The sequence below is a fragment of the Homo sapiens genome, chromosome X (assembly GCF_000001405.40).
Source record: "Homo sapiens chromosome X, GRCh38.p14 Primary Assembly".
NCBI lineage: Eukaryota > Metazoa > Chordata > Mammalia > Primates > Hominidae > Homo > Homo sapiens.
The window spans coordinates 102,134,747-102,155,977 of NC_000023.11; the positions used below are offsets into that span (position 1 = coordinate 102,134,747).

At 40.6% G+C, this 21,231-nt stretch overlaps 2 protein-coding genes and 1 long non-coding RNA gene across 5 annotated transcripts, besides 1 other annotated feature; 1 reads left to right on the top strand and 2 right to left on the bottom strand.

The window, feature by feature from the left end:
- Positions 1-3,755: 3,755 nt before the first annotated feature.
- On the bottom strand, positions 3,756-7,735 carry TCEAL6 (transcription elongation factor A like 6). Its single transcript, NM_001006938.3, has 3 exons — positions 7,607-7,735; positions 6,968-7,040; positions 3,756-6,609 (listed from the first exon to the last, which is right to left on the bottom strand). Exon 3 carries the CDS (start codon positions 6,583-6,585, stop codon positions 6,034-6,036), a length of 552 nt encoding a protein of 183 aa, NP_001006939.2. The 5' UTR covers positions 6,586-6,609; positions 6,968-7,040; positions 7,607-7,735; the 3' UTR covers positions 3,756-6,033.
- Positions 6,982-9,219, top strand: LOC105373299 (uncharacterized). 2 transcript variants are annotated; one of them, XR_007068283.1, is made up of 3 exons: positions 6,982-7,063; positions 8,248-8,362; positions 8,897-9,219. It is a non-coding gene; the product is annotated as an uncharacterized LOC105373299 (long non-coding RNA). The 2 variants fall into 2 exon arrangements; XR_007068282.1 differs by lacking the exon at positions 6,982-7,063 and adding an exon at positions 7,829-7,869.
- Positions 9,220-18,965: 9,746 nt separating this feature from the next.
- BEX5 (brain expressed X-linked 5) lies at positions 18,966-21,231 on the bottom strand. Of its 2 annotated transcripts, none has more exons than NM_001012978.3 (3): positions 21,113-21,231; positions 19,998-20,064; positions 18,966-19,556 (listed from the first exon to the last, which is right to left on the bottom strand). In NM_001012978.3, exon 3 carries the CDS (start codon positions 19,517-19,519, stop codon positions 19,184-19,186), a length of 336 nt encoding a protein of 111 aa, NP_001012996.1. In that variant the 5' UTR covers positions 19,520-19,556; positions 19,998-20,064; positions 21,113-21,231; the 3' UTR covers positions 18,966-19,183. The 2 variants fall into 2 exon arrangements, with proteins under 2 accessions (NP_001012996.1, NP_001153032.1); NM_001159560.2 differs by lacking the exon at positions 21,113-21,231 and adding an exon at positions 20,847-21,044.
- Positions 21,048-21,187: an enhancer, noted in NCBI's record as "active region_29813". NCBI's record gives its function as "activates an Ori minimal core promoter by ATAC-STARR-seq in GM12878 lymphoblastoid cells {active_cell/tissue: GM12878}" and the evidence as "EXISTENCE:reporter gene assay evidence [ECO:0000049][PMID:35858748]".

Sequence of the window (21,231 nt, forward strand, 5' to 3'; positions counted from 1 at the left end):
ATATGTTACACAGTAACAGAATATTAATAAAAATTTTGGTACTGAAAGTAGTGAATGCCTAAATATATGAGAGTGGCTGGGGAAACCGGCAGTTGATGGAGGCTGGGAGAATTTTGAGGAACACGACGATGTTTATCCAACTGTCAGTAAAAACATATACCCTAAAGATTCTGCTGGTGAGGGGCCAGTAGTATGTGAGGAGCAAGTTACTAGAAATTGGAGGAAAAAGATCCTTATATTTAGTGGCATGGAAATCTGAGAAATAGTCTCCAACACTTATGTGGAAAGCCGAACTTGCAAGTGATGCACTGGGACATTTAGCTGTGATGATTTCCAAGCAATGTTTTGAAGTGTAGCCTGGTTTCTTCCTGCTGCTTATGGCAAAAGGTGACGAGAAAGATATATTGAGAGAATAGCTGTTAAACAAAAAGGAACTAAAACTTGAGGACTGGGAAATACCCATCCTACCCAAATGGAAAAATACACAAAATTAAGAGATTCCTTCTGAAAGTATGACACAGAGAAAAAGCTGAGGATGTAGTTGTTACAGTCTTTCTCTGAAACCTTAGAAAAATAAGAAAGTCAGAGCACTCAGTCACACAAAGGTCATTTTCAAGAGATTGAAAGCATGACTCAAATATGCTCTCAATCGAACTAGATGGGCCAAGTCTAGAGGTCAGAGGCAGAGAAATCAGAGATTCAAAGCATAAGAAGGATTCAGTGTGCTGCTGCTGCTGCCTTAAAGCTGGAGGGTACCATGTGGCAAGGAATGAACGTAGCCTTTAGGAGCTGAAACCAGCCACGCTCAGCTACCTCAGCAAGAGACAAAAATAGAGAAAGATGATTTCAAAAATATCTGTCAATGTGAATTTTCTTCAATGGAGTAAAACCTACTGTAATTTATGCAAGACTCACCTCACAAGATTTTAAAGAAAATTATATCAGTAGAAACACTGCCAACTCTAAATGAAAGTGATGGAGTACAACATGAGAGAAGGTTGTGAGATCCCCAAAATTCTCTTGAAGAATGGTCTGATAAAACTACTCAGCTGAGAACACATGCTGCATCTAATGAAAAAGGAAGGATTACTCAGATCACAGAACCAAGAGCTCGGAGCACAGACCTGACAGTCCAGAGGACACATCCAGAGAGTGAAGCTGAGTGCCACAAAAGATTTTTCCCAGGCCTTAAAACCTAATAAAGAATTTTTTTGAGCCAGTGACCTCTTTTTATCTTCCATTTTTACCCGCTTTTGTCTATAACTGTTATCCTGTGCTTGTCACATCATCATAGGTTGGGAATTTTATGGGCAAATAATTTGTCTCCTCAGTTTTACAGATCTGCAGATGGGATGAAATGTCTTCAGGAGCTTTACTTAATGGATTATGCCCAAGATCCTCATCCACATCTGGTTTATATAATTTAGATGGTGACATGTTTATTTTTGAGCTCATGCTGTAATGGGATGAGATTTTGGCGAATCTTGGGAGAAGTTGACAGTATTTTTACATTTGGTAGGGAAATAAATTTGGGGGACCTGAAGGCAGACTATGGTAGGCAGAATTCTAAGATGGTTCCCACAAGTTACCAGCCCACAGTGTATTATACATATCTTCTTCCAGTTACTCAATCCAATGCTAATCTATGTGTTGCTGTGAACAGATTTCGCAGATATAATTAGGTTCCCAGATCTGTTGATCATAACATAGGAGACAATCTGGGTGAGCCTAACCTAATCACATCATCCCTTTAGATAAGGGTCTAGAGTCAGAGACAGAAAAGTCACAGGTTAGAAGCTTTAGAAAGAATCAATGTGCAGTTACACAGTGAAGACTGGAGGGGTTCACATCATAAGGAATGCAAATGGCCTCTAGGAGCTGAAAATGGCTTGCCTGACAGCCAGAAAAAAAAAAAAAAAACTGGGACCACACTCCTACAGCTGCAAGGAAGCAAATTCTGAAAACAACATGAAAGAACTTGGGTATATATTTCCCCCAGAACCTCCAATGAGAACTCAGTCTGGCTGAAATTTTGAATCCTCCGCAAGACATCTAGGACCTCTAAAATCCTCCTCATCATTAATTATCCAAATAATTCTCTTCAAGTCCCTGACCAGCCGATTGCTGGTTTTAGTCATTGCTCATGAGACAGGGTAGATCCATACCTCCAACCATTAAGAGTTCTATACAAAATGGACAATCATATGATTCACTCAAAATCGTACCCCAAATCCTAGCATGTCTTTTTCCTACTATTCTGGGTTATCCCTGAGTGGGACTATAATGAGGCAGCCATCCACTTGTACCTACTATCAATATACCAGGAAGATACAACCAGGAACTGATACATTGTTTCATATCTCTTTTTCTAACTGGTCACAAGGATGAAGAATTCACCAAGATGCCATATATGATATATGTTGGTTGAGAGAGAGGCAATGAGGTCTGATCAAACTGCACATGAAATTTACTTGTGCCTTCTTGGTTTACTCAGGTCTGATCTTGTAAAGCCATTTGCAATTAACGGTTGAAAGCTGATGTCCACACAAAACTTTATTATTCAACAGAGTAGACAGCAACACATTCATTAAGAGTAGCTTGTTAGTATGGAAAATTAATACCTCATGGTCAGGTGTTAAGTCTCTACTGGGTTTGATAGCAAGCCAGGAGCAGATTCTCAAATGTAGACTAGTTGCCAAGAAAAGAGGGAATGATTTTGCTTAAAAAACCCTAGAGGCATATACTTTAATCTACTACTGGGGCTTTCTAAAACTCCATGGAGCCTCTCTTTCTAGCATGGACACAATACAATTGGATCTGCAGGGTCATGAGGCTGAAGTGTCAGAGAAGCCCGCACTACAGTCTGGAACTACTGTAGATCTTTTACTTGCTCTGGGTACCACTTAAAACTGGAAACCATATGGAGTCCAAGAACAAAATCAGTATGATATATATTGTCTCTAAAATCTAAGGTCTTAATTCTTTCAAGGTAAGTGTAGTAAGATCATCTGCAGGAATGTACTTAACTGCTACCCATCTAGGGCAGCTTACCACCCACGGTTTCCCACTATGGCATTTCTTCCGTTCCTTTGTGAGGCTGTGCTCCTGTGGCACATACAGAACCCTCCACTGGGTTTTTGTTGTTGTTGTTTGTTTTGTTTTTTTTTTTTTAAATGGCACAATCTCAGCTCACTGCAACCTCCACCTCCCGGGTTCAAGCAATTCTCCTGCCTCAGCCTCCAAAGTAGCTGGGATTACAGGCACCCACCACCACACCCAGCTAATTTTTTTTTTTTGTATTTTTAATAGAGATGGGGTTTCACTATGTTGGCCAAGCTGGTCTCAAACTCCTGACCTCAGGTGATCCACCTGCCTCGGCCTCCGAAAGTGCTGGGATTACAGGCATGAGCCACTTCACCCAGCCCTGGGTCCTTTTATAGCACAGATTCCACAGTTGTTTAGTTTCACTTTGCAGAGCCTGTCTTCCAGGGGCTAAGAAGTTTCACCCCTTACAGTGAGGGAGCTCTCCTTGGTGCTGCTGAATATGCGTTCTTTAGTAAGCGAAGCTTTTACTGTGAACTATATATAGTGAACTAATATCTCTGCTGATATTCTGCTATATATAGAAGGTCCTATACAGCCTGTAAAGCCCATTACTCCTCATTACTTTGGAGAATGTAAGTAAATCCTGTTAGACAATTTAAGTTATTTGTCCAAAGTTATTTAGGTAGACAGAGGCTAAACTTGGAGTCTCAGTCATTATTATTTACATTTTTATTAAGTGCTTACTACTTGTCAGTTACTTGTGTTGGGCACTAGCAATACAAATATAAAATGGACATGCCATACTTTGAGATGCAGAATCCAGTGCAGTCTTTCTCAATTTTTTTGCTGCAGCCCACAGTCAGAAATTTATTTTCATCATAACTCATGGTGCACACACATACATACGTACGTAACTGAAACACAAATTTCACAAAAAATATTCAGTCTATTTACAATGCTATTTGCTATTTGATATTTTCTGTTTGGCTGTATTCAAGTCTATTCTATCCTATTTCATTTTTAAAAAATTACCTATCTTGACCCATTGAATTGATTTCAAGATCTACTTTTCATGGGGGAAGGACAACTTCATTTTGAAAAACATGGGCTTATTTAATAATCTGTGATGTGTGTCTTATATAGCACATATATTTATATTTTTAGGCACATATTTTATGTAAAGGTGGGAGTGGGGAGCCTGAAGGGTCTCTTTCTAAGCCAGTGCTTCTCAAACTTCAATGTGCATAGGAATCTTCTTGGGATCTTGTTAAAATGAAGATTCTAACTTATTAGGTCTGAGGCAAGACCTGAGATTCTGCGTTTCTAATTAGTTCCCCAGGTGATGACTATGCAGCTTTTTCATGGACCACAACATGTTCATTACAAAGGATTTAAAACTCAAATGTATTGATGGGTCTGCCGAACTGCTAAAGTGTTACCTGACAAGTTTCCTGAGAGTGAACTCAACAGAGAAAAGAGCATCTGCAGACAAGATATTAACCCATGAGAACAGCACAACCACTATCATGCAGGTATTTTTTCCTGGCCTAGCCTGCAATATCTCAGTTTTGTGAGGACAATATTTATGTATGCAAAACAAAGAAATAAGGAATACACATAAATGATTATTTTGGCAAAAAGAATTTGGAAGATATTAATGAGAGGCCCAAGCAGCACCAAGGTGATATCCATGTGTACCTGGTTACTGTAACTATAAAGTGGAGAGAGGGCTTTATCCACTTCTACGGGGGTCATGGGTTGGTGGACATTGCTCACCAGTGACTCCAGAGAAAATGACAGGGCTTTGACACCATAAATCCTCTATCAGTAAAGGGTGCAGGACCCGGGAAAAAGGGCATAGTGCCCAGCAGACATGGAAGTATCCAGGAGAGAGTGGCATCTACTTCTTAGCTGCCTGGAAATATTCCTAGACATGGTGAGAACTCCCTCAGTCCTCCTCCAATGTGTCTGATTCCATCGACTTTCCTGCCACTGTATGGGAATAGTTTAGGAGCCATTCCTCCCCTGAGTGCCTAGTGGGGACCAGGTCACAACACAGCTCACATACTTAGTATCTCATCTGATCCACCAGGCAGTCCTGTGAGGCAAGTATTACCCTTATTTTACAAATGACAAGATTGACTCTTACAGCAATAGATCTGTTAGAATTTCCAGGTTGATTCCTTTAGCTTTTAGTCCCAGAGATAATATGAATTTTACCTGTCATCTTATGTTCTGATAACAGGAATTCTGAGTGTCTTTATTGCCTTTGTAAGCGCACCAAACAGTTCAATTTCTTAGTATGTATTGTATTCAGCTTTTATTTATTTTTCAGTATGACAAATATTTAGTATTATATTTTAGTATGGGTCTGAGTATGCAGACCCAGCACTCATGTTAGAAGACCCAGGAACATGATAGAGGACCTAGCAACAGTGCCCACTGACCTGGCTCGACCTAGGGAAGACATAGGGATGTGCACAGCAGCAGAGGAATATCATGGAGGTACATACAAGAGGTGGTAGGACTCATTTTTGAATACAGGTGAGACCTATTCTTGGCTACCCTTCAGGAATAACCATTGCCTGCTTTTTAGTGTACATGCTTTCAGGGTTTTCTTTGCGCAGAAATGCATTATACAAACATTTACATTTTTATAAATATTGGCTGATAACCGTATACGAGGTTCTGCAAACTGTTCTTTATTTATTTATTTTTTACAATGTGTCATGAACATCTTTTCCATGCACATGGGTGAAAATCCTCTACTAAAATATAGAGCGCTGTAGTTGGGTCAAAAGGCTGCTGGTAACGAGATTGACATCTAAAGCAAAAATATCAGCTTAAGGTTAAAGCATTGGGCCTGGCAAATATCTACCAGGGAAAGCAGGGTTGACAATAATCTCATCAGAGAAGTCAGAATGGAAGGCCAAAGGCATTAAAGGTATGGGATATCGTGTAAGCCTCTTTGGCCCCTACCTCCACCCCTCACTCCCCTGACACCCCGTTGTCCCCTTGGGCGAATGGATCCTGTACATCTCTTTGCATCCAATGAAAACCACCCATTTTCTGTTTTTTCCTTAGCTCCTCCTGAGCCCTTGACACATCTCCACATTCTCTCATCATCTCCTCACTGCTCAGATGCCTTTCCTGTAAGTCCTCCTGAGAGTCCTTGGGGGAATCGTCCGTCCCCCTGTCTGTTTTTCTTTTTGCTTTCCGGGGCACATAATCTCCAGCCGGGCGCTTTTCGGCGGCCCGCGGCTGGCCCTCTGGCTTTGCCTGGGAGGCTGGCTTGCCCTCGCCTTGTGGCTTGCCCTCACCTTCGGACTTGCCCTGCTTTTCCTGGCTTCCCTTATCTTCCAGTTGTCCCTCATCACCTGGCTCTCCCTCAGCCTTTCGCTTTCCCTCGCATTCTGTCTTCCCCTCCGCGTCTGGCTTTTCTTCCTCGTCTGACTTTCCTTCATCATCAGGCTCTACTTCATCTTCTGGCTTTCCCTCGTTTTCCAGGTTTCCTTCATTTTTATTGTAGGGTTTTTCCATGTCGAGATTTCTCTTTTTCCTGTCCTGGGGGATGACAGTGGAGGGAAGAGGAGACAAATAAGAGACATGGGAGACTGAGGGCATGGGGTGGAATGCAGGTCTGGATACTACTTGCATCTCACCCCTGGTGAGGGTTCCCCTAAGCTGGCCGGGCCTCCAAGAGGGCCTTCTGCCCAGCACGTAGCCCACCACTCCTCCCACACACGTGAGCCAGCCATACCCTGGCAGGCCCTGCCACCTTCTCTGAACTGATTCAGCCTGGTAAGGTGTGTGTTCACGTGGGTGGGGTTATGTGCAGGGGTCCCAATTTGGCCTTGGCCGGGCCCTCCACACTCTCAACCCTTGTGGGCCCCTGTCCATGCAGCCCCCTGCTTTCACGGACCTGCGGGGAGTCTGGACAGGTTGCTCTTCCTTTGCAGGCCTCCAAGAGCGCTGGGAACAACAGACGCGCAGACCTGCGGACAGACAGGAGACAGGGGTAGGGGCTGCGCGCTCAGCGGGCTCACAGGGACTCCGTTCCCTTTTCTGAGTCTAGGCCCTGCTCACCCAATGTTTTCCTCCCCTACCTCCCCCGCACCCCAGCCGCCATTTCTTTCCAGGCCTCGGGCACCAAACCAGGATGCTTCCAAACTGCGTTTGCCTCTTTGTGCCCCTTCCCCCGGAGGCAACCTGTCTCAGCGCCACCCCGTTTTTGCGGAGGTCAGATGTTTCCATGGGAGCGGATTGTGAGAGGGGGTTATTTCCAGAATAAGTCTGTGTTTCACTGTCGCACTGCGGGGTCGCTACCCCCAGCCCCCCATTTCCAGCACTAAAATGGATGGAGGGCTCAGTGCAAGGGGCGTCGAGAAGGCGAGCCAGGTTCGCTTCGGGGTGCTCCCTCCCCTGCCCCCGCCCCGGCCCGCTCAGCATCCCCCTCCTCCCCAATCTACCGGATCCCTTCTCCGCCCCCTCCCCAATCCTACTGCCAGCCCCCTCCACCCCTGTCCCAGGGTCCGCCGGCAGCGCACGCCTTCACACTGACCTGCGGGGACCCAGGACAGGCCTGTGCCTCCTGCGGCTCGCTGAAGCCCGCTCGCTGCTCCCCCGCCGCCTGGGCAGCTCAGACAGCTGATTCTGCGCGGGCGCCTGGACCGGACCGCTGGGCGGGCGGGCGGGCGCGGGGGCTGGTGCCCACGTAGGCGCCTGGTCACTCACGTGAGCACCGCGTCACGGGAGCTAGGCCACCACCACCCCCTTCCCGCCCACCTCACCATCCATCCCCGAGGGACCAGGAGGTTGCGGAAGGTGGGAGAGGGTGTGTGTAACAAAGGAGTGGGGGTCATCAAGAAGAAGAGGAGGAGGGGGTGGCTTTCTGATCTCAGGTGCTTTACCTGACGCAGCTCACAGCATCCTCGCAAGGCATCTCTCTCTGATGCCCATTATCGCCAGGTGTGACAGCTGATCAGAGAGGGTACCCGACTTTGCCAAGAGCGCTTAGCCCCAGAACTCCACAGCCCACTTTCAATACCGGCTCTGCCTGACTCCAGAGCCCGGGGGGTAGTGGTGCCTGCCAGGAAGCTGAGCTGCCACCTTGAGTGGCGGTGTTCCTGGGGTTCTGTCCTGGGCCTCCTCTCTCCTCAGTCCTCAAGTTGTCTCTCCCTGTGTGATCTCATTCATTTCCAGTAAACACCGATGACTCCCAGATCTACAGCTCCAGGCTGTTCCCTTCTCCGTGTCTCATATCAGCTTTGCCAACTGTTTATTGGACATCACCGCCTGAGTATCCCTGAGGGACACGGTATGTAAAAACCCTGTACCACAAATTGATTTCAAAAGCCCATGTACCCCAAATTGATTTACCAACTTCCTTCTTATAATCTCCATTGGCCTTTCTCCACACTTGAAAGTTACCTTCCAACAGTTGACCAGTTTTCATAGAAAGAGAATGTCAGACAGCTAGAAAGGAAAGCATTCAAACGTTTTTAATATGAACTGCAGATCCACAAATTCATCATAACCCTTGGTTCACAACATGCTCTTCTCATTGACTACTCTTCTCTCCCCTGCTTTCCCTTCTTTTCCCCCACTGTTTACTTTCGTTCCATTGTTTTTCTCTTTCACATTTGTGAAACCACCACTAAACCCAAAGAACTAGAAAATTGCTAATAACTGTTTACTTTCCTTCCATTGTTTTTCTCTTTCACATTTGTGAAACCACCACTGAACCCAAAGAACTAGAAAATTTTTAATATTCTTGTCACTACAGTGTAGTGTCATATATTTGGGTTTTGACAAGATACTTATAACATGTTTTTGTTTGGATCTCTTTCAGATTATCCTGTTTGGAGTGTATTGAACTTCTTGGATACATCGATTAGTGTCTTTCCTCAAGTTTGAGTAATTTGCAGTCATTTTTCCTTTGAAAATTCTTTCTTCTCTATTCTGTTTCTCTCCTTGTTGAACCCCCATCATGCATAGGTGTGCTCTGTTCATTTTTCACATTACTTTTATTTTTCTGCTCCTCGGACTGAATAATCTCAATTGACCTATTTTAAGTTCACTGATTCTTTTGCCTGCCCAAACCTACTGTTGTACCCCTCTAGTGACTTTTAGTTATTGTACTTTTCAAATAAAGAATTTCTATTTATTTTATAATTTCTACATCTCTTTGTATTTTTACATCTTTACTGATATTGTGTATTTGCTGAGACATTCTTCTCTTTTTCTTTAGTCCTTTGTTTACGATTTCCTTTAGTTCTTCGAGCATATATAAGACAGTTGATTAAAAATATTTTCTAGATATTCTAATACACGGGCTTTTTCATGATAGTATCTAATTATTTCTTTCCTGTGTATGGGCTATGTTTTCTTATTTCCTTATATGCCTCACAAAGTTTTGTTGAAATCTGTATATTTTGATTCTAATATGTTGACTCTGGAAATTAGATTTTCCCTCTTCCTTGGGTTTTGTTGTTACTCTCTCGTGGGTTATTGTTTACTTAGTGACTTTTTAAAGTATTTTAGCAAATTATGTATTCTTTGTCATGTGTGGCCACTGAAGTCTGTGTTTTATTAGCTTATTAATCAGCTGGTGTTTGGATGCCGTTACTCTAAGTACCTAAAGCCAACAAAAGAAAAACAATAAATAAAAAAATAATTTCCTGGCCTGGCGCGGTGGCTCACACCTGTAATCCCAGCACTTGGGGAGGCCGAGGCAGGTGGATCGCCTGGGCTCAGGAGTTCAAGACCACCCAGGGCAACATGGTGAAACCCCGTCTCTACTAAAAATACAAAAAAATTTACCAGGTGTGGTGGCGCACGTCTCTAGTCCCAGCTACTTGGGAGGCTGAGACAGGAGAATCACTTGAGCCCCAGAGGCGAAGGTTGCAGTGAGCGGATATCATGCCACTGTACTCCAGCTTGGGCTAGAGAGTGAGGCTCCATCTCAAAAACAAAACAAAACAAAACAAATTTCCCAGTCTTTGCAGATGAACTCTGAGTTGGAGTACCTTTTTAATGCTTTGCATTTTTCTTATGCAGAGCCTGAAGCTCAAATTCAATGAAGTTGAATGCTTGCATTTTCTCTGGTCTTTTCTGAGTATGTGTCCCACCCTTGGCATACACATGGCCTTCTTGATTTTCCAGTATATATAAAGGGTTTTTTAAAATGCTTGTTCTTCCACATATCTTGTTTCCCTAACTCTTCCTTCTCAGGCTTCTCGGTCTGTTCATTGCTTATTCTGAGTGTTGTCCTTTGCTCCAGACTTCTTTGGTCAATACCTGTGATTTTAAATGCTTCTGGCAAAAGCCAACTGGAGAGCCAATGCAGCCCAAGCCCTGGGAGTCCTCCCAGTCTGGTGTAATGAAAGAAGCCTTAGTGATGAAAGTGCTGCCAGGCAGGCTGATAGCCATACCACACTTCTATGAGAATACGGTCCAAATTCCTACCACTGGTACTAGCTATCTAAACCAGGATAGTGGGCTATCATCAACAGATCACTGCTAATCTGGGGCATAGAGAATGGTAGATAGGCAATTGAAAATTTCTTTCTTACCACAAATTAGCAGCTTTTATTCTTCACCAAATTTTCCTCTCATTGTTATAATTTTTTGACTGGATTCCAGAGTTCTGAGAAAGCTGATGGTAGCAGTTTTTGCCAGCTCACTAATTGCTCATTATGGAGTTCCGGAGTTCCATACACTACCATTTTTAATGATGTTACTTGTGTTTCTATTTCTTTTTAAGTCAATTGGGTAGGTTGTGTCTTTTTTGGAATTCATCCCATTCATCTACCTTGTCTCATTTTTTTGTCATGCAGTTGTTAATAGTATTACCTTATAATCTTTTTTTATATATCTGTAGAGTTGCTAATGATGACCCCTCTTTTATTCCTGATTTTAATAGTTTCAGTCTTCATCATTTTTTATTGGTGAGTGTAGCTAAAGTTTTGTCAGGTTTTATATATATTTTCAAAGAACAAACTTTTAGTTTCATTGATGTTCTATTCTGTAATTCATTTATTTCCACTCTAGTGGTTACTATTCCCTTCCTTCTGATTTCTTTGATTTAAGTTGCTCTTCTTTCTGTAGCTTTTTAAGATGAAAGTTTACTGATATGGGATTTTCATCTTTTCAAAGTAAACATTTACTGTTACACATTTCCATCTAAATGCTGCTTAACTATATCCCATAACTTTTGATGTGTTGTGGGGTTTTTTTTTGTTTTTAAAGTATTTTCCAATTTCTCTCATGATATTTCAGGTTGAATTGAAGTACATTGTTTAATTTCCACATATTTGCAGGGTTTTTGAATTTCTTTATGTTGTTGATTACAAATTTAATTCCATTATGATCATGGAATATTATTTTTATAATTTCAATACTTTTAAGTGTATATAGGATTTTATTATTTATTATGTAGTCTTTCCAGGAAAATGTTCCATGGGTGCTTGACAAGAATGTGTATGCTTATGCTGTTTGGAGTGTTCTATACATGTCTGTTATTCCAGTTGGTTTTGTAGTTTTGTTTAAGTCTTCTGTTTCCTTGTTGATATTCTTATTTGTTTCATTTATTTTTGAATGTGTGGTTTTGAAGTCTCCAATTACTATTGTTAAATTATCTTGATTCTCTTCTAATTTTTTCCTTCTATTCTGTAAGTTTTTGCTTTATGTATTTTGGAAATCTGTTTTATGTTCATATATGTTTATAATTTTTGTATAGTCCTGAAGGATAGGACTTGTTATATAACACGTTTTTATTCTACGATAACATTTTTTGTCTTAATGTCTTTTTCATCTGACTCTTTTGGTTATTCTTTGCATAGTATATATTTTCCATCCTTTCACATTAATTTTATTTGCTTATTTAAATATATTCTCTTTTAGATAGTGTATAGTTGTATCATGCTTTTTTTTTTTTACCCATTCTGCTACTTTCTGCCTTTTGACTGAAGTGTTTAATCAACTTATATTTAATGCAATAATGATAAGGTGATATTTACATTTGCTGTTTTGCTATTTGTTTTCCATTTGTTGTGTGTTTTTGTTCCTCTATTTCTCCATTATTGAATTACTTTTAAAAGGATATTTTTTTGGCCTACCATTTTAATTCTCCTTTTTCTTGTACAAAGTTTTTGAATAATTTTCTTGTGTAGTTGGCCTAGGGATTAAAATTAGTATATTAATTTAAAACAAGTGAATTTGTATCAATAATTTTAATGGGATGCAAAACTATCTCCATTTCCTCTTTCCTCCTTTGTGATTTAGGAAGAGTGTCATAGAAATTACATCTTAGCCATTATATCTGTTTTGTAATTATTGTTTTATCAAGTTTTCTTTCTAATCTAATAAGAGAAAAATGAGTTACAGACAAATATACGTTTATAACTATTTGTATTTATTTCCTATTGTTGCTGTAACAATTACCACAAACTTAGTGGCTTAAAATAGGAAAAACTTATTCTCTTACAATGCTAGAAGTAAGAAATTAAAATGCCTTCATGGGGTTTTAACCAGAGTCAGCAGGTATCCACTGCCTTATTTTTTTCAACTTCTGGAGCTGAATTTCTTGTATTCCTTGGCTTACGTCCCCTTCATTCATCTTAAAAGCCAGCAGCATAGTATCTTCAAATGTCTCTCTGCTTCCATCATCACATACCTTTCTTTCTCCTTTGTGTCAAATTTCCCTGTGTCTCCTTATAAGAACACTTGTGATTGCATTTAGGGCCCACCTAGATAATTCAGGATAATTAAGACACTTAATAACATCTCAAGATACCTAATAACATCTTCAAAGTCTCTTTTTGGCATAAAAAGTAACATTCACAGGTTCCAGGGGTTTGGACATGCATAACTTTTGGAAACCCACTATTCTGTCTACCACACTGTCTTTTATATTTACCTATTTAGTTACCTTACTAGTGTTCTTTATTTCTTCATGTGGATTCATGTTACCATTTAGTGTTTTCTAATTTCAGCATGAAAGACTCATTGGTATTTATTGTAGGACAGTGCTGCTGATTAAAAATTACTCACTGTTTGTTATTTGAGAGTGTCTTAATTTATCCTTAAAGTTTTAAGGAGAGTTTCCAGACTAAGAAGTGTTAGTTAAGTCTTTTTCCTTCAACTTTCTGAAAATGTCATCTTACTGTCTTCTGGCCTCCATGATTTCTGATAAAAAGTCAGCTGTAGATTCGTGCTTTCCATCAAGTTCAAAAAGTATTTTGTCATTATTTCTTCAAATACATTTTCCTGAAACTTTTCTTTTTCCCCTCTTTATGGAATTCCCTTCGTGCCTATGCTTGTACGCTTGATGGTGTGCCATGGTTCTCTAATGTCTCTATATTTTTCTCCATTTTTCTTTGTTTTTTTGTTCCTTATACTCATAATCTTCATTTATCTATCCTCAAGCTCACTGATTCTCTCTTCGTTCACTTCAGACTCATTATTGAGCTGCTCTAACAAGTTTTTCATTACAGTTGTTTTCCGTTCAATGGAGAAAAGGTAGTCTTTTCCACAAATGATACTGGAAAAGTTGGATATTCTCATGCAAAAGAATGAACTTGTACTATTATCTCATATCATTTATAAAAATTAACTAAAAGTTGATTAAAGACCTTAATGTAAAATCTAAAACTATGAAAACCTTAGAGAAAAATAGGAGAAAGCTTGATGACATTGGTCTTGGCTGTTGCTTCTTCAATATGACACACAAAGTATAGGTAAAAAAAAATAGAAATTGATCAATATTTAACACTTTTGTGCATCACAGGACAGTGTCAAGAGAATGAAAATGCAACTTACAGGACAAAAGGAAATATTTGCAGGTCTATATCTGAAGAGGGATTAAAATCCAGAACATATTTTAAAACTTTCATAAGTCAGTGACAACAACAAAAAAAACCACATAGAACCCAATTTAAGAATGGGCAAATAAATTGAATCAACATTTCTCCAAAGATATACAAGTGGCCAATAAGCACATGAAAAGATGCCCAACATCACTAATCATTAAGGAAATGTAAATCAAAAGCCCAGTGAGATACCACTTCATGCCCATTAGGATCATTGTTATCAAAAAAATAAGCATTGGTGAGTGCTATGGTCTAAGTTTGTTCCCACCAAAATATATGTTGATATTTCATCCCCATTGTGGTGGTGTTGGAACATGAGGCCTAGTGGTAGATGTCTGGATCATGGGGATGGATCACTCATGAATGGCTTGGTGCTACTCTGGAGGTAGTTAGTGAGTTTACACTCTGATGAGACTGGATTAGTTATCACTGGAATGGGTTAGTTCCCTGGAAAGTGGGTTGTTGTAAAGCCAGGACACTCCTTGTGTTTTATCTCTTTGCACATCTCTGCTTTCCCTTTGAACTTCTCTGCAATGTTTTGATCTAATTCATGGCTTACAATAGAGGAAGAGCAGATGTGGGTGCCATGCTTCTTATATTTCCCAGCCCACAAAACCATGAGCTAAATAAACCTCTTTTCTTTATAAATTACCCATCCTCAGGTATTCTGTTTTAGCAACACGAAATGGACTAAGGCAAGTAGGGTGTGGAGAAATTAGAACCCTCACACACTGCTGGTAGGAATGTAAAATTATACAGCCACTAGGGAAAACATTATGGCCTTTCTTCAAAAAATTAACATAAAATCACTATATTTCATTTCTGGGTATATGCCAAAAATAATTGAAAGCAGACTCTGGAACAGGTATTTATACACCCGTGTTCCTAGCAGTATTATCAACAGCAGCTAAAAGGTGGAAGCAAGCCAAGTGTACATCAAGAGATGAGTGGATTAACAATATGTTATATGTACATACAAAAGAATATTAGTCAGCTTTAGAAAGGAATAAAGTTCTGCTACATGCTAAAAAATTAGTGAACCTTAAAAACATTATACTAGGTGAAAGAAGCCGGACATCAAAGGGCACATACTGTATGATTCCATTTATATGAGATACCTAGAAAAGTCAAATTCATATAGACAGAAAGTAGAACAGTGGTTACCAGGGGACATAGGGAGAGGAAAATGGGGACTAGGAAGTTATTGTTTATGAGTACAGGGTTTCAGTTTGTAATGACACAAAATTTCTGGAGATGAATGCCGGTGATGATTCTAAAACAGAATGAATGTACTTAATACCAATAAATTGTACATTTACAAATGGCTGAGGTGTAAACTTTATATTATGTATATTTTTCCACAATTAAAAATATCCGAAAACTTAACTACTTTAAAGTGAACAATGCAATGACATTTACCACATTCACAATGTTGTGCAACTACCACCTCTATCTAGTTCCAAACCATTTCCATCACCCCAAAGTAAAACCCCTCACCCACAAAGCAGTTTTTGATCGTTACTGTCTCCCCTAGTCCTTGATAACCACCAATATGTGTTATATCTTCTATCAGTCTACTAGGACTGCTATAACAAAATGCCACATACTGGGTGGTTTAAATAGTAGAAGTTTATTTTTCACAGTTCTGGAGGCTGGAAGTTCAAGATCATGGTGTCAGCAGGCTTGGTTTCTCCTGAGGCCTTTCTTTTTGGCTTGCTGATGGCTGCCTTTGCTCTTCGTCTCATCTTCTATTTTAATTTACGTTTTTAGTTGAGAAGTAAAAATTGTATATATTTATGGTGCACAAAATGATGTTTTCATATCCTTATACATTGTGGAAGTACTGAATTAAGCAATATAATACATGCATTAACTCACATACTAATCAATTTTTGTGGTGAGAACACTTAAAGTCTACTCTCCTAGCAACTTCAAGTAGACAATATTATGTTATTAACTATAGTCACCATGGTATAATTGATTTAGTGAACATATTCCTTTCTAACTGAAATTCCTTGAAGTTCCTTGAACTTTATTTACAGTCTTGCTTTACTTTGCAGAAGATTTAATATTTTTTACATGGTGAATGTCAATCTTTCCCTTTATGATTTAATGTTTTAAAATTTTTATTTTAGCTTTTTATATTATTTTTTGTGCCCATATACATCTTCTCCTTGCTACTCCTTTCCCTGAATTTGGGCGAACATTTATATTTTATTTTAGTTATTTTATTGGTTTGTTTTTAACATAATCTGGATAAAAATGTACGCACAAGTGATCCAACAAACTCTAATGTGCATCAGAATCACCTAAAGATTGTTAACAATGTAGCTACCTGAGTACCATTGCCAAAGAGTGGATTTTGGATGGTGCCAGAATTATGTATTTTAAACAAGCTCCAAGTGGAATTCTGAAGTATTTGATAGGCTAGCGAAGCTGGACGAACACTGGCAAATATTTTCTTAAAAGGATGTTTTTGTGATTTGGGGGTATAATTCCTCCCCTAGGGTATTTCTTTCACAAGATATAAATTCTATATAAACAAATTAACCTGCTTAGGGTAACACAATCAGGGATAGTACAGAGAAAATAAGCCAAAGATATTTTAGCCACAAATTTCACTCACTTCTCAACTCTACTCTACATCGGAATCACCACGGGATCTTTCACACTAAGGATCTGTTGGTCTCACTTTTAATGAGTCTGACTCAACTGGTTGGAATTGGGTACTGAGCTCCACTTTAAAGTATCCTCAGGTATTTCAAATCTGAAGCAAGGATTGAGAACTTATGCAGTAAAGACAATAGCATTAAAAAATAAAAAGTAGTTGTCTCTTTAAGAAGGGCACCGTCTGATGGGAAAATAATGCCTGATGTATATAGATTAATTAAATTCTATGTAGTGTTTTCACAGGTCTCAGATCTACCAATCAACTAACCACCCATTTCTATAAAATATAAGGTGGGGAGAGGGGTGTCTGAGATTGACTAAAGCTGGGGCCTCCACTTTAATTTATGTAAGTCCAGAGATGTCTGATTAACTATGGTACAGTGAGTATGGACTGAAACACATTTTTTTCTGAATTTTTAGCCAGTTCTTCAGGCAATTTTGATGCAGCTGGTCTATATAGCACATGCTGATAAACACTGACATATATAATGTTATGATAAGTGCATTTTTTTTGGAAATTGGCGTATAATGCTTCTTCTGCTGTGTTCCTTTTTAATTGCAAGCTACAGTGTGTAGGGAAAAGAAGCACTTGCCCATAAATAATCAGAAGCAACCCTGGGTCCAGATTGCAGGATTCAACTCAGCTATAATTAACTGTTGTGCCCTACAACTTATCAGGCCCTGTACTAAACACTAAGGGTACCAGTATAAATGAGACAAAATATTTACTGTGAGAAGGACACAGTTTAGTGGGGAACAGTGATGACTGTGAACAATGTTTTAAAATTGGGATTCACCTACCAGATCCCCAGTTCCTGCCATTATTTCCCATCAATCTGTAATTACGGGTTTATTTGGCACAGAAATCTCAAAGCAAAGGAAGAGGGAAACGTATCTGGATCCGTGTAAGTTAGTGTAGACTACTGGGGACTCCTGAGGTCAGGGTGGTGTGAACCAGAACAGTCTTGGGAACATAAAATTATCCCTACAACTCCTGTGTATGTGCAGAATGAAACCTGTAGCAATGTCTGCACAGAAAATTGATAGTCAAGGAGACTAAGCTATATTCATCAGAGGATGGAAGAGATAGTCCAATTCTGAGCACACTATCATGAGTGTCACTCAAATTTGTCTGGGAGAAGGGGATGAGGAAGGAAGTGGGAGAAAACCATAAAGGGCTGCTTGCATTTATAAGCAGTGTTGGTGAAGTATCTGCCTGGTTTAATTATAACTCTAAAGCAGGGAGGGACACTCTATACATTTTTGAAAAGGCAAAATGGGGATTCGGATTACTGAAGGTTCCAGAGAAATCGGTGGGTCTTTGTCATCTTTAGAAGTCCAGTACATCTGCAGTGGTAGAAGCCAGTGGAGGGAGCAAAACGCAAGAGAAGAGGAAGATGTGCCTAATAGTTATGGTATTATGCAGGAAAGAAAGCCAGAGTAGCAGATGAATAGAAAAGCATTTACAGTTGAGCATCCCTAATCCAAAAATCCAAAATCGAAGTGCTCCAAAATCCAAGGCTTTTTGAACATGACATGATGCTACAAATGGAAAATTCCACACCTGACTTCATATACGCAAACTTTGTTTCACACACAAAATTATTAAAAATATTGTATAAAATTACCTTCAGGCTATGTGTTTGAGGTGTATATAAAATTAAATAAATTTCATGTTTAGAGTTGGGTTTCATCCTCAAGACAGCTCTTTATGTACATGCAAATGCTTCAAAAACAGAAAAAAAACCCCAGAAATCTGAAATCTGAAATGCTAGTCCCAAGCATTTCGGATAATGGATTTTGAACCCGTACTCACCTGGAAATCAACTGGACTTGCTGATAGGCACTCTCCTTGGAATCTTCCCTAAATATGAAGGGCACTTAGAGGGCTGGAGCCTTGCATGTATAAATAGAGCAAGACACAGAGCTCAGTCATCACCTCATTTGATTCCCACAGCAGCCGTCTAAGGCATTTATAATGTAACGTACCTGTAATTATCAGGTACATGTTTCTAAATGAGAGATCCATAGGTAATATAAGATTTATATGTCTTTAAACTGTGTTTCAAGTGTTTATTAATTGCCCCCATTTCCTATATAAGTTGATTGGCAAGTTCCTTGCTTCTTACTTTTTTTTTCCCTGAAACATAGGAAACACATGTATTCATTTTGGAAAAGTGAGAAAAAGTGGATAACCAAGAAAAAAATAAAGAAATTTAAAAGTACCAGTAACTATACAACATAGAAAAAGCACATTCTGGTTTTCATTCATTCATATATATATATATATATATATATATATATATATATATATATTTCATATATATTATATATAGTGTGCATACGTACACATCTAAATGAAATAGTCTATCTGTAGACTGCTTTTAAATTGCTTTATTAACTTTACAGTATGCAATAAACATCTTTCCATGAAAGTTGATGAAAGTCCTCTTCTGACAGAAAAACTTACAGACTAGGTCAAAATGCAATCTCCAATCAGAAAATTGCAGAAGAATGCCAAAAGGTTCACATTAAAGGTACACCAGGAAAAATGCGAATTTAGAAAGCAGGGATTTTATGATTATTAACCTCAAGATTCAAGGCATAAGGCAAAACTCATCATGATGATCATGGTGAGGAGGGTCCCCTATAAGAATGCGCAGACTGTACCTCAACTGAAGTTCCCTAATTTTCCTCCTTAGCTCTCTCATCTCCTCCATGAACCGTTCCATATCATCTCCATCTCCATCTATCATATCAATGTTATCGACAAGCCTATTGGGCACATCCTCTCCAAAACCCGGGGCAGGTGGAGCCCAAACCCCTTTAACATTTCCTCCAGGCTCCTGGTATTCACCACCTCCTAAAGCGGGGGCTTCATTCTGCACTGGGGCCTTCTCCACAACTTTGTTTTCCTTGGGGACATTTTCCATGTTGAGTTTTTTTCCTGTTTTTTTTTTTTTTTTCTTCCTAGAAGATAAAAAGCAAGAAGAGGGAATGAATGCTTGATAGGATTCAGAGCTCTGTTTGGCAAAGGTTTTCCCACCTGAGAAACTTTATGAACCCTGTAGGGGGCGCCCCAGACCCAGCGCTGCCCCAAAGCCCATCATTTTCCCTGAAAATCCCTTCCCCAGGCCACTCCTACCGCCAAAATGCAAGACGACTTAGCGGAGGGGGACGATCATAGAGAGACCAGACTTCACCTCCCTGGGATCCTAATAAGCTCTCCAGGAGCGCCCCAGATCTCGCCCCTCTACTCCCTTCTTCCCTCATCAGATACAGGCTGTCATTTTATGAAGACTCTCCTAAGTTTCTCCTGCACTCAACTCGGGCAGGAAGGGCTGTGAGTCACCCAGATTCTGCTCTGATCCTTGATACCCCTACACCAGAGGGCCCCAGGCAACCTCCTACCTTCAGGGATCAGAGGCAGTCTTTCTCTCTTAGCCTTGAAATCGGCTGCACAAACGCACTTAAAGACCTGCAGACAAATGTGACAATTACCAGGACTGATCTTTTAATCAAAGGACCGGTAATGGGAGTTGATTTAGGGTTCTCCTAGTATTAGCACCTTCTGTTTCTCCTCCATCCTGTCTCACGGCTTCTTTTCCCACCCTGTGACAGGCTATCCCACCTTCCAGAAATAGGCATCAAAGATGATTATTTCCAAAACGTTTTAACCTCTTCTTTAGGCGCCCATCTCTACTGTTTCCTCTTACCTGTCATCTAGTTACCCTTTCTGCAACGCAGGCAACTTGCCTGGCGGGGGAGTTAGAAGAGCTTGCTGAATGAATACGTAGTTTATTCACAAAGAATTTCAATCTAGATATCCATCAGGCCCTCTCTCCACCCGATCCCCACTCCCATGCCCACCATTTTATGCATCAAGATGGACGATGAGTGAAGAGGTATGTGGGCATTGAAAACTAGGACCTGCTGCGGTCTCTGCGCTTTGTCATTCTCACTCCAGGATCTACAGGTAGCGCCCACGCTTACACCGACCGACCTGCTGAGACCAAAAACAGTTTCTCGCTCCTCGCCTCTGTCCCTCAGTCAGAAGCTCGCCCGCTCAACTGCCGCAATAGGGACCTGCTTTCCAGACCTAATCTCTGTCCCCCTCCTCTGCAGCAATTCCTCTCCTCGGCCCCCGCAGCCTATCATTTCCAGCTCTAAATGGGTAGAGGGTGAAGAAAAGATACCTAGAAGGCAGGCCTAAAACCTTGGCAGGGTCCGCCCTCCCCAACCCTTGGTTGCCGGCTGTACCTCCCTCCCGCGGACCTGCAGGAAGCAGGCTGTTTCCTTTCAGTCTCCTCCACCGGCTGGACTCCATCAGACATTGCCCGATGGCCGGCCTCCTAGGAGATCTCAAATGGTACCCATTCTCAATCCAGCCCCCTCGGGAGATCCTCTCCCCAACCGCTCCATTTCTCGCACTAAACGGGTGTGTATCTGGAAAGGGTGTGTATCCAGTCCTAGACCCGCTCTGGTCTTTGCCCTCTGCTGCTCACACACCGGTCAGCGCCACCTACCTGCCAGGGCTCAGGGGTCAGCTTCTACCACTTTCCACCTTTCCTGGGCAGCTGGCTCGCCTGCCTTCAGGGCAACAGCGAGCCGTCACACGGCCAGCGACAACTACCAGACTGCAACT

Excerpts from the sequence above, each read along its gene's own strand:
- TCEAL6 (NM_001006938.3), bottom strand. The coding sequence starts at position 6,585 with ATGGAAAAACCCTACAATAAAAATGAAGGAAACCTGGAAAACGAGGGA.
- BEX5 (NM_001012978.3), bottom strand. The coding sequence starts at position 19,519 with ATGGAAAATGTCCCCAAGGAAAACAAAGTTGTGGAGAAGGCCCCAGTG.